General features: G+C 40.8%; 1 protein-coding gene across 7 annotated transcripts in view; it reads right to left on the bottom strand.

Annotated features, from left to right (window-relative positions):
- Positions 1 to 13478, bottom strand: part of MAP2K6 (mitogen-activated protein kinase kinase 6) — a 139169-nt gene that overhangs the window by 13420 nt on the left and 112271 nt on the right. For all 7 annotated transcript variants that reach the window (NM_002758.4, XM_047436411.1, XM_011525027.4 and 4 more), the window contains one exon: positions 4286 to 4331. In NM_002758.4, the coding sequence (NP_002749.2) occupies positions 4286 to 4331 (46 nt within the window). The remainder of the gene's footprint in view (positions 1 to 4285; positions 4332 to 13478) is intronic.

Raw genomic sequence — 13478 nt, 5'->3', positions numbered from 1 at the left:
GAAATAGAACCAACCAAACCTACCCCAAATGGATAATTCTTACAGGTAGAACTTAGTCCCACGTGTCTCACCTCCCATGCTCACTCCCTTGATTGCCTGGTAGTCTATTTTCAATGACCAGTTGAGTAGCTAAATGTAAGCATTTTTACATCCAGACACATAAGTGACTCACTCTGTTTCCCCTGACTTTAGGGAGTTTAGTTTACAACCTTTATGTTGCCCAGCTGTAGGTTTTCTAATTATATTTGTTTTAAACCTGACAGCAGAGGGTTGGATGAGTCAGCTCCGTGGAAAACTGAGTTCCTGCTCATGGAAACTCTAGGAAACAATGCAAATGGGAAAGGAACAAAGAAATAAAAACCCCAAAGAAGATAGCTGGTCGCGATTAAGTATCATGACTCAGAAAATGGAAAAGAGATTTTCTCCCTTTGCCCATCTGAGGACACAGGTTGAGTGCTGGCTCCGATCCTTACACTCATGAAATCAACTGAAGCTCTGAGTGCCAGGTCCTTCCTCCTGAGCTCCCTCAAAAACTAAATAGCAGCCATACTTCTGATTAGTCACCACATACACAGCACACTTACCAAGGACTCTACCATCATGCTTATTAGCTTTCCCACATCCTCTGGACATTTGGAAATCTTTTAATGTACTTAAAAGCTTTTTACTATCAAAACAGGACATGCCAAACCTCAGATTATCTTGGTGACTGCTTCCAACACCTGCCAGCCCCACCTTGCCTTTTGTTCTGCTAGTGGCTATTAGCTCAGTAGATGTTGCCTGAGTCTGCAAATGAATTAAATAACCTGACTTGAAGTCTTTAATCAAAAAAAAAGAAAATCGCTAGGCATCTTTCCATTTATTCCCAGGTTGAGAAAATGCTATGAGAGCCAGAAGGGCAGGGGGAGGGGAAAACGGGTAGGCATGACAAATGGAAAGTGTGACTTGCCTTCTTGTGTGGGTTTTGAGGCTGTAAAAGGTTAAGAGGGAACCCAGTCCCTCCTATAAGCAATGGATTAAGATTAGCAAGGGCAGCAACCAGGAAATTGACAAATGAGGGACTATGAATAATACTCAGACTATAATACCAGGCTGGGTTTCCCAAAAGAGGAGCCAGGGAGACAAGAAGGGAGGACTTTACACCATTTAGTCTCACTGATGTGCCTGAAGAAAACATGGAGATCCGTGAACATACTACGAGGAATAGACAGACAAGCTACAGTCACCAGCAGGTCTCCCTGTCCCATGCACAGCACCTCATCCCTTAAGACTATGGTTTTGAATGGGTCAGGCATCTTTGTTTAACATACAGTTCAATCTAGAACTTCCTAAGATAATTGGAGAACATTATTTCACTGGGCAATCACTTGAATGAACTGGTTATCTTTTCTGGTGATTATCATCTAGGACAGGGATCAGCTACCTATGACCCAGAGGCCAAATTTAGCCCACTGCTTGTTTTTTTAAATAAAGTTTTATTGGAACACAGCCACACACACCCCATTTTTTTTTTAACACATCGGATATGGCTGCTTTCACATTGCAACACTGAATTAAGCCATTGTAAACAGCAACTGTATAGCCTACAAAGACTAAAATACTTACTATTTAGTCCTTTACAGAAATCGTTGGCTGCTACCTACTTTAGAAGAACAAATTCTACTGAGTCATACTCCCCAGTGACATTTGAGAGAAGAAGCAAATGACATGATCTTAAAGAATACACACCCTTCAATCCGTGTTAGGGAGAGAAACATTTGGGATTTCTATAAGAGGGACATGTCTAGGTTAAGGCCTTAATTAAACTGTCCTTCACCTGGAAAAAGGATTATTTTTTTCCTTCATACTTCCTCACCAACTCCTAAAATCTAAACAATTGCCTCTCAGCAAGTGTTTTCCCAATGCTAAAGTCAGGGAGTTTGGACTCAGATTTTCCGTTTGAAAACCTCAGTTCCACAGGAAAGCAGGGAACAGTTATAGTCTTAAAAGGCAAGTCCATTTCCAGTACCACAAAGACTAATGCTGTAAGAAGAAAAGGGGGACTGACATGATTTTATAACATTGATATATATGTAGGCCATAAAATATCACAGGGTTAGAACATATTACAAATGTAGAATTTGACATCAGCTGCCCATGTATATTAAGCATTCTTTTCTCAAGTGTGTTTCAGTGAAATTTCTGATCCGAAACCATTTGGAAGAAGAAAAAGTAGCCAGAAATATATAGAAAATGTTCTTCTTATCTGAACTTAGTTACAAAACATGGCAACTTTAGAATAGGAGTACAGGTGCACACTTGTAGTCCCAGCTACTTGGGGGGCCCAGGCCGGGGGATTGTTTGAGCCCACGACTTCGAGACCAGCCTGGGCAACATAATGAGACTCCATCTCTAAAAAATAAAAATTAAAATATAAATAAATAAATAAAATAGGATTACAGGCTCCATAGTATCCTACAAGAATAACTGTATATCTACTGTATTTTATATGAAATTAATTTTAAAATGGCCTAGCGGGTGCATAAGCATATTTAAAAAGAGTAAACAGAACCAAAAAAGCCTTTGACTGGCTATTAAAAAATAATCGGGAAGAAAATATTCAACTTAAACATGTACTATGCTAGGATTTTCTCAAACATTACTCATATTTCCTTCTTTAACTGTGAGTTTTAGTTGAATAAAGATGGTAGAGTGCTGAGCACCAGGGGCTGCCTTTTAATGCACCCAATGGAGGCCCAATGAGATGGTCTCATCTCCAATTCATCCAGTTGCAAAATGGTTCAATCTTCAATCAAAGCTTAGGCAACAGAAGTGAAAACCTATGTGATTGGCTGTAACTATCACGCATCTTCCTGATCAGCTTTCTGTAACTCTTCCTGACTCGACATTTCCAAGCTGTGCTTCCTCATATCTAAGCCACCTCACCACAGCATTTGACACTAGGAATCCATGCTTCTAAGACATGCCCTGAGTTGGTCTTGAAGACAGCAGGGCTTGTGGCTGGGATAGCAGAGGAGCAAGCATTTAATGCCTGATGAATAACTGTGTTCCAGTAAGAAAGGGTGTCAGTGTTTTATTGCTTTTGAAATTGTGCATGAACGTAACTCTTCCTTCCCCTGCTAAAATGAAAACCTTGATAATTGAAACAAATCTAGGAATTAACATAAATTAGCAAATAGTCTGAATTTTATATATTTCTCCCCCCCAAAAATGTGTTTCTCCTACATTCAACATATACTTAGATAAAGCAAAGCATTGCCAAGTTTAGGTCCTTGCCATTTGTATTTAGCTTTTAGAATCATTAGTAATTAGCTTAGAATTGTAGTTACCAGAGTTTTGTTTGTTTGTTTGTTTGTTTTTCTTTGAGACAGGGTCTCACTCTGTTGCCCAGGCTGGAATTCAGTGGCACAATCACGGCTCACTGCAGCCTTAACTTCCTGGGCTCAAGTGATCCTGCCACCTCGGCTTCCTGAGTAGCTGGGGCTACAGGCAAATGCCACCATGCCCGGCTAATTTTTTGTACTTTTTGTAGAGGTGGGGTTTCGTCATGTTGCCCAGGTTGGTCTCCAACTCCTGGGCTCAAGCAATCTGCCCAACTCGGCCTACCAGAGTGCTGGGATTACAGGCATGAACAGCCACCATGCCCGGCCTATAGTTACCACAATTTAAGAAACGTTATTTTAATACAACAAACAATGCTAAGATATTACTTTCTTCACTCTTGCTTTTTATAGACACAGCAAGTGATAAACTGTGAATGCTGAGGGAGTATAATTTAAACTAATCATGCTTTGTCTTACTTTTTTCCACCAAAGTGAAAACAAAAAGCAAAATTTTTTTTCCTCCTTAGCTACCCCCCAAAAAGTTGTTCATCTAATTTAGCCCAGATATTTGATCAAAAATTGATCAGTCAAAGAGCATTTAAGTTTTCCTCAGTATTGAAATCTCTTAAATCATACTTTCCTTAATTTTATCTTAGTAATATGAGGCTTCTCATATCTTTTAAATTCAAAAATATAAATTGTATACACATAATTTGCTCTGTATCATGACAGGTTTATTAGCCTGGAAAAAAACTACTAAGAATAGTGACAGGTCCCAACCTATGTTTAAGAAGGATGTAGGATGAACTCTTTAACTCTCTTTCCTGGAGTTCAATTCCTGTCACTGATGTATCAATGAACCAACTCTTCCAATATGGTGATGTGATGATAATTTAGGTCTTAGTGACTTTGCCTTTTGTAGCTATCAGTATAGTCATGTTTACGTTGCTAACAATACTCACCATTAGCTCTGGGTATGTAGGCCGTTCTTTGGAATTCTTCTTTAAGCTTAAAGAAAAAAAAATAATCATTAAAATCTAGAAGCCATATATATTTTCATTAGACAAGGATTTCAGAACCTGTAGAACACTAAACATAATCAGCTTTAAAAGTGTATTGAAAACACAGCCTCCTATCTTGACTTTCCTCTTCTGTAACACTTATGTATCATGTTTTAAATCACCCTGGTTGTGCCTTAATGGGAAAAATAGTTGTGTGTGTGTGTGTGTGTGTGTGTGTGTGTACTTTCCTTTTGATACTTTACCGATGATATGCACACTAATTTTTCTGATCTATAGCCATTTTATTTCAAAAAATCTACTTTCCTTCAAAGCAGCTTTAATGCCATTTCCACAGACAAAGAAATTGGCAAGTGTTTCTTACATTGCCATTTGTTATCTCTTCACTGTCAGGTACCTGGTTCTTTTTGCTTCTGTTTCCCATGAATGTATAATTTGCTTTTATATAGTCCTAACCAAATCTGCCTGAGATAGAAGCAATAAACCCCTAATATTTATTTTCTTTTCCTTGAGACAGGGGCTGGCTCTGTTGCCCAGGCTGGAGTGCAGGGGCATACAATCTCGGCTCACTGCAGCCTCCACCTCCCTAGGCTCAGGTGATCTTCCTGCCTCAGCCTCCTGAGTAGTTGGGATTACAGGCACGTGCCACCATGCCTGGCTAATTTTTGTATCTTGTAGAGGCAGGGTTTCACCATGTTGCCCAGGCTGGTCTCGAAGTCTTAGGCTCAAGTGATCCACCTGCCTCAGCCTTCCAAAGAGCTGGGAGTACAGGTGTGAGCCACTGTGCCCAACCCCCCATAACATTTCTAAGGTAATACTACTTGTTTATGACAAAGGTAATAAGACCTGTTTATGACAGCTGATAAAAGAGAGAGCGCACTCAGTGACAGCAATTATTCTTGTTAGAAATACTTTATGGTCATGCGCTATTGTCAGGTGACTTCTGGTTATTCTGCTCTCCATTGACACAGACATTTAATAACATTTGATACCGGAGGCAATAAATGCTGTTACTTATTATTTAACAGTAATAAAACTGTAAGATGAAGAGACCAACCCATCACCCCATTCTCAGCCCATCCCTATCCTCTATCCAACTCTGGCCTTAAAATGAAAAAAAAAAAAGAAAAAGAAAGAAAGAAAAGAAAAGAAACAATTTACTTGGAGTTGGAATCCCAGGTTACAGAATGCAGAAAAAGATGATTTTGAAAACTATGATTTGCAAGGCAACCTACAGACTCCTGTGCCCAACGGACCACAAAATCATACATGAATGGAAAGGAGCTTTGCCTGGCATTGGAATGGAAAGGAATTTTGCCTGGAGTTGGAGGAATCAAAATGTAACTGATTGTTAGGTTGCTGGGATTTGAGCTAAGGGATCATTTTGAGCAAATGAGACCTAGCATGTGTGACGTGAGCTCTGCCTCACCCTCCGAAGCTAAGCATGACGGGGTAAGGTACAGAACCATGAGAGAGCGAAGTAGTTCAGGCACTTTGAGAAACTGTGGTTTAAAACGAAATAAAATTAAAAAAAAAAAAAAGAGAGAGAGAAAGTTTTTGAACCAAAACAACTTAAAATCAGCCTACCAGTTTGTTCCAGGCAATGCTGTGGGTGGAAGCCAGGGAACCTGAGACAGGCTACAGGTAGATGTGAGGACAGAAGTTTCAACCTGGAACTGAGGGCAGACCTAGGACCTAGTGACCTCAGTGACCAGACAACCTATGAGAGAAAGTTTCATCTCAACTGAGGATAAAAATAAGAGCGCATTAGAAAGAGGAATTAACAGGCGGCAAAGTCTGATTGATATGGGAATGTGTGCTGAGTGAAATGAATGAGTCCGTGTAACTCCCACCGATGGTTTTGTAGGTACCTAGATGCTGAGAGTCTACGTGGGTGGTTCTCAGCTGGAGGTCATTTTGCTCCCCAGGGGATATATGGAAAATGTCAGGAGGCATTTTTGGTTGTTACATCTGGTGGCAGGGTGTTACTGGCATCTAATAGGTAGAGGCCAGGGATGTTGCTAAGCATCCTGTAATGCACTGGGCAATCCCGCACAACAAAGAACACTCTAGCCCAAAATGTCATGAGTGCAGAGATTAAGAAACGCTGTGCTTTGTGTAATAGGTGGTCCCTCCTTGTTGCGGCTTCCTCTCCCCTTCACTTAAAAGGACCATCTCCAGCTGGTTTGTCTTTGTCTTTAAGCACATTCTCACCACGACCGTCTCCTGCCCTCAACCCCAGGAAGCAAAAGTGTTTCTTTCTAAGTTCAAGAGCTAGTTTACCTAGAAAGAAACACAGAAGAAGCAATGTGATCCCAGGAGCGTTGCTGACTTGCACACAGACCCTGGTAAAAAAAAAAAAAAAAAACAAACAGGCTAGAAGCCCTGAATTTCCCACTATTGTTCAAAGCAAATCAAAAACCAGAAATGCTTCTCTATCGCTGGAACAATGTAACACGCTAAGTAAATAACAAAAAGTGCAAGCACAACATTAAATCCACACTCAATATTCAGATGGTTGATTCTGGCTGTCTCTATTTAGACCTTAAACTCCGCATTGCATCTGGAACACTCTCACTGAGGACCCAGGCCCACTCCGTTACTAGCTTTCATTGGTCAACAACAGAACCAAGGCAATGTCAGGAAGAAAAGCTTGTTTCTCAAATGTAAAAATGTGCTGATTTTTTACCTTATATTTAGCAGAAAAGATAAAATGACTGTCTCTTTCCAACAGATAGATGAGCTTAAACATCTCCATTTTTAAAAATACTGTATTTTTTTTAAATGCTGTATTTTTTTAAAATACTGATTTTGAGTCAGGATATCTTATCTTTTCACTTCTGGAACAGCTTATAAAGATTTCTCGACCAGGTGCAGTGGCTAATGCCTGTAATCCCAACACTTTGTGAGGGTGAGACAGGTGGATCACTTGAGCTCACTTGAGGTCAGGAGTTCAAGACCAGCCTGGCCAATACGGTGAAACCCCGACTCTACTAAAAATACAAAAATTAGCTGAGCATGGTGGCAGGAGCCTGTAATCCCAGTTACTAGGGAGGCTGAGGCACAAGAATCACTTGAACCTGGGAGGCGGAGGTTGCAGTGAGCTGAGATTGCACCACTGCACTCCAGCCTGGGCAACAGGGTGAGACTGTATCAAAAAAGAAAAAAAAAATCTCCAGATTTTTGTTAACTCTGTATAAAGAAAATATGGGGAAAGTACCCTAGTTGATCCATCATAAAGTGTTAAGGATTCCTGAAACCTCCAAGACTAACTGGTCAATAGGCTATTCCTTGACTCATGGCCCCTGATTAGAAAGCTCACAATCTACCCCAAACACTACTGCAGAATATAGATGGAAAATACTTACACCGCAAAGCAAGGCTGTTTATTAAATTAATGGAACTGATATAACCCATTCTCTCCATCTTTTAAATCAAGAACACTTCAAAACATGGGCTAAGAATAGCAATACACTCAGGATAAGGTTGGGGGGAAAGCAAATTTTCCATGTTTAGTAGGAAGTACTTGAAATTCAGTATACAATAACAACTTTGGAGTTCAAAGCAACACCAATTTCTTTTTGAACTGGAATCAGACTTTTGAATTTTCAAAGAGCTTCTCATTTTCAAGCGTGCAATTAGCTAACTGCCCTAATTCCTTTTCCAAATGCCACAACACACGCTTCTGACCATAGCTGACACTAAAAAACAGCTCATGCTGTCTTGAGAATTGCTAGCTTGTAGTTTGTGCTGACCAGAGGATTTCTGCCTATTTGAATTCCCCCGATCATTTCCAAGAAGGGCTATTTGGTACATCCACAGAATAAAAACACATTGCGCGTTTCAAGGCATACATTTGTCAAAAGCTAAATAAACATCTAGTGCCTCTTTTTACTGTCCTTCCTACACAAGTAGGAGACTGTATTTGACTGTCTGTGTTTTATGCTAGTTTCCCTGAGTCAGACAATATTGATGCTTGAGTGGGCCTCCACTACCCTTCAATATGCCATCAGACTGGTCAGTTGGGCCCACAGCTTCTTAAATAGGCCTGGAGAAAAAGCCAAAGGGAAGTCCAGCTGATCTGGCACTCGGCAGTTGACTTCCAGTGACTTCCTTCTGTGAACCTATAGGAAGAGTTTATAATGAAAAGTGTAAACCGGCTAAGATTCCAATCTTTTGCGAACTCGTTTGTTAACCCTTCTGCAGGACTAGAAAGCAAGACTTCTCTATTAGACTTCTCTATGATGAATCTCAAAACAAGGCTGACATGGTCAACACAACCCAACTCAAGAACTCCTTAAAACCCCTACGATAAGAAAGAGATATATAGGAAAAAGAGGAAGAAAATCTCATTCTGTAGTCCTATCTCAAAATAAATACAGAAAAGAAGGGTTTGTAAGAAACCATTGTGGGTTTGCTTTTTTCCTTTACGTTCATATGGTTAATTCTTCCTTCTCCTTCAAGATAACATTTGTCAGATGTTACTGCAAAAGAAATGCAAAAACTGGAACTCTGGACTCTAGGTCTAACTTTGGGTGTGGTGATGATAGCCTGTTAGAGCTTTTCTACTTCACCCTACAAACTAAGTGATTTACTGTCAACTAACAAGCAGTGATCAATACTGATGGGCCAGACAAGAGTGGCTACCAAGTCAATTCCCTGGATACAGAATTATGGTACCTTGCAACATGGTGATGGCATCGTGCCAAGTTGATTCCTTGGCACGGGTATGATACCTAGGCAGGTGTATGATACCTAGTAGCTTTGTGACATCGAATGCTTAGGTAGGATACACAAGTTCACAAATACTCTGACAGTTACCTAGGCTGCGGGTATAATGGGTTCTTTTTCTGCATACCAAAGACAGATGTAGGCAATAAAAACATAGATGTATCTATCTTGAAATTTGAGATTAAATATTTCACTTTTGAAATCCGTAGTCTCCCTTCCCCACTTAGCACATAGAGCGGCCTTTCTGAGAAGTCTGGGAGGACCATAGCCTACATAATAAAAATATAAAAAACATGGAGCTCACGAAAAAAAAAAAGGTCCTTTAATGAAGTTATGTCTCAATAACACAGCTTTATTCATGAGAAAAATAAAAGAATAGCTGATAAAGGGGAGTTACGTGCACAGGGAATGTTCATGAAGAGGTAGAAGAGGTACTCTTCTGTTAACATTATCACTTTTCCATTCTTTCCACCAAGCTCCAGATCAAACCTCAAGCTTTCAGTAATCAAACAAGTAAAATCACTAGATGGCTAATGGCTGGAGGTATGTACCCATATATTAATATATGTATGAAAAATAAAATTGCTTCCGTAAAGTTCTAGGCCAGTCATAAACTCTAAAAGAAAATCAGTGCTACTTTTTGAGTATAAGATGACTTTTTCAACCCAGTTGAAAAATAATGTTCATACTTAAGGGATATCAAAGAAAATATATTGGTGGTTTGTGGCAGGGAAAAAAAGTTATTGACCTGGGATCTGAAATAGGAGAGCTTGCATGCTGAAAAAGTCAAACTGAGGATAAGTAAGAATGCTCATAAAATTCAGAATTAACGATTCCCTTCTATTTCTTAATTCCCATACCAACAAAATGACTATTTTAGACAACTGATATTCTTAAGTATAGCATTCTACCAGAACTATAATACTGACACTTTGAGGAAGGAAAATTTATCTTTTAATGACTTCTAGGGTAAAGTGATTTGGGTTTTGTTTCTAGATAGTTTCATATTTTATTTTATTTTATATTGCATTTTGTTATTTATTTAATTTTATCTTATTTTGGCAGGATCTTGCTCTGTCACCCAGGCTGGAGTGCAGTGGGACAATTATGGCTCACTGCAGCCTCAGCCTTCCAAGCTCAAGCGATCCTCCCACCTTGGCCTTCCAAGTAGCTGGGTCCCCAGGTGCACACCACCACACCCAGCTAATTTGTGTATTTTTTGTAGAGACAGAGTATTGTTTTTAATATACCCAGATATAAGACAAACTGACTTACTTGAGTAGAAATGACATGACACCGAGCAAACAGTATTAATAGAATTAACAGTTTCAGGAAAGCTGAGACATGTCTACGGCTCAAAATTTTTTAATTAATGAACTGTGGTAGCTGGGATTAAAATTAAAAGAAAATGAGAGAGAAGGGGATATCTTTGCAGGCAGCCATGAAGGCACTATGGGTGTTATAAGGAGAGAGAAGGCACAGGGCAGTCATTATATGAAGAGCAATGATGCCGGTATCTGGAACTTCCATATATGTGTGCATACATTAAAATTAGAAAAATTGGCCGGACGCAGTGGCTCAAGCCTGTAATCCTAGCACTTTGGGAGGCTGAGGCGGGGCAGATCACGAGGTCAGGAGATCGAGACCATCCTGGTTAACACGGTGAAACCCCGTCTTTACTAAAAATACAAAAAATTAGCCGGGCGTGGTGGCGGGCACCTGTAGTCCCAGCTACTCAGGAGGCTGAGGCAGGAGAATGGCGTGAACCCAGGAGGCGGAGCTTGCAGTGAGCTGAGATCGTGCCACTGCACTCCAGCCTGGGTGGCAGAGCAAAACTCCGTCTCCAAAAAAAAAAAAAAAAAAAAAAATTAAAAACCATTTATTTCTCAAGATGTTCATTTTAAAATATCTCTAAAAAGTTTCAATGCTCTGATTCTTCGGAGAAAATTCCAGTAAGAGAAAAAATACACTGGTGAAAGAAAATTCAAGCAATTGGATGATTTTTTTTAAACAAATTGAAGAAAATAAACCTTCTAAACAGAAACTAGTTGATGGCAGGTCCATAGATCATATGTCTAAACCTGGGGTTATCACCGCAGCTGTACATAAAAATGACTTGAGAACATTTAAAAATATATTAGTATCTTGGCCCCTCCCCAGATCAGTTAAATCAGAGTCTATGAGGATGAGGCCTAGGGGGCAGTGATTTTGAAAGCTCACTAGAGTTTTATAAATGAGCAGCCACAGTTGAGAATCATTGGATTAAACTGGTGATTCACAATGGTAGACTCAGCTTTCTCAAACTTTTCACACCAGCCTCGTTCTTACCAAAATTTCCTAAAGCACCCAGAATCTTGGGAAAAGGGGATAGGTGGGAGAAAGGTAATAGGGAGAATAATTTGAAGAGACTTAGCTAGATAAGATCATTCCCCATTACCACCCCTCTTGAGAACTACTGTTCTGTACTACCCAAGATGCCTCATCTTTTTTTTTTTTTTTTTTTTTTTTTTTTTGAGATGGCGTCTCTCTCTTATCACCCAGGCTGGAGTGCAGTGGTGCAATCTCAGCTCACTGCAACCTCTGCCTTCTAGGTTCAAGCAATTCTCCTGCATCAATCTCCCGAGTAGCTGGGACTACAGGTGTGTGCTACCACACTTGGCTAATTTTTGTATTTTTAGCAGAGATGGGTTTTCACCATGTTGGTCAGGCTGGTCTCGAACTCCTGACCTCAAGTGATCCGCCCACCTTGGCCTCCCAAAGTGCTGGAATTACAGGCGTGAGCCACCACGCCCGGCCCCTCATCCCTTTTTTTGATGTGACCTTAAACATCTGAGGATAAGGCAATAAATAAATAAATAACCAACCAACCAACCATCCACAAAAAACAAGTCTTTGAATCCAGAAGGCAAAATCATGAACCCAGGTCAACCTGGCAGAGGTACTACCACATCCAGCACACTCCCTCAAGGAAAACAGACAGGAAGCAGCCTAGAAGATATATCTTTTAAGAGGCATCCAACAACTATTACACTAGTGCTCGAGGCTCCAGCCCCTCTCTAGTCATCCAGCCAAAAACAAAAACAAACAACTGCAGACCAGCCTCATACATCATCAGGGAAAAGTACCAGAAATGAGAAGGGGCCTAGGGCTAACAAAGAGTCGAAGAGCTCTTAGGTTCACAAGCAACAGACAGTTGCTTTGTTTTATGTTTCTTCCATGTTTCCTGATGAATGCTGTATTCACAGCTTTTTTTTTTTTTTTTTGAGACGAAGTTTTATTCTTGTTGCTCAGGCTGGAGTGCAATGGCGTGATCTCGGCTCACTGCAGCCTCCACTTCCCAGGTTCAAGCGGTTCTCCTGCCTCAGCCTCCCGAGATTACAGCTGTCCACCACCATGCCCAGTTAATTTTTTGTATTTTTAGTAGAGTCAGGTTTTCACCATTTTGGCCAGGCTGGTCTTGAACTCCTGACCTCAGGTGATCCACTCGCCTTGGCCTCCCAAAGTACTGGGATTACAGGCGCGGGTGCCCTGCCTCACAGCACTTCTAAAAACCATGGAGGCTGAGGAATGAAGCCACGGGGAAGATGTTCCTTCAGCTTCCTCAGTACCTCAAACAGCCTTCAGAGCTCCAGGCCCTTCCCCAGCAGTGAGTACTCAGAACGGCTCCCCTCCCAGGGTCACAGCTGGGCCTGCCACCATCTCCGAGCCCCCTTCCTCCTAATTCTCATCTACTTCTCCCGGATGGCCAAATACGCTAACCTGGCTCAGGGGTGTGCTTCACTTCTGGCATCCTGCTTCCAGCATCACTTGCCATGATCATTACTATCAAGCCATGCTAGGCATCATGACCTCTATGCAGATAGAAATTACTGGATTGTCTAGAGAATACTTTCCCCTCTTGCTTTTCTTGACTGCCCTGGCAGTTTTCATGAAAATATAGTTCACCTCATGAGTATGGCTCCCTCCCACTTTCCACCCCAACTTCCTTTGGATTCCCTTCCCAGAACTTCAGCATTGTCTCTTATGGTGGGCAAGTTTCTCCACAGTTAGCAAGTATTCAGTAGCAACCAAGGTTCTACAAGACTTCTGGGGACCTAAGAAACACTCTCAAACTACCCACTATCTTCTCACCGAAAGTAATTCTTTGCCTCTACTTCCTATCCCCAGGCCTCTAGTGGGTCCTATCAGCTTTCTCTTTATGCTTTAATCAACATCAAATTGCTTAAAGCTCACATAAAGGAGTTTCTTGCTTTCGTGACATTGTGAATGATGTTCCTTCTGTTTGGAATATGTTTCCTTTCCTATTTCCCTTTTGTCTGGAAAATTCCTCTCGTGATCGCAGCTCCAGATTTATCTCCTCCAGAAAAGCCTATCCTGAGGTCTTCCCTCTGAGTTCCTTAAATCG

This window comes from Homo sapiens, chromosome 17, assembly GCF_000001405.40.
Source record: "Homo sapiens chromosome 17, GRCh38.p14 Primary Assembly".
NCBI lineage: Eukaryota > Metazoa > Chordata > Mammalia > Primates > Hominidae > Homo > Homo sapiens.
Note: the sequence above shows the minus strand (reverse complement) of the source record. Positions and strands in the feature narration are given on the sequence as shown.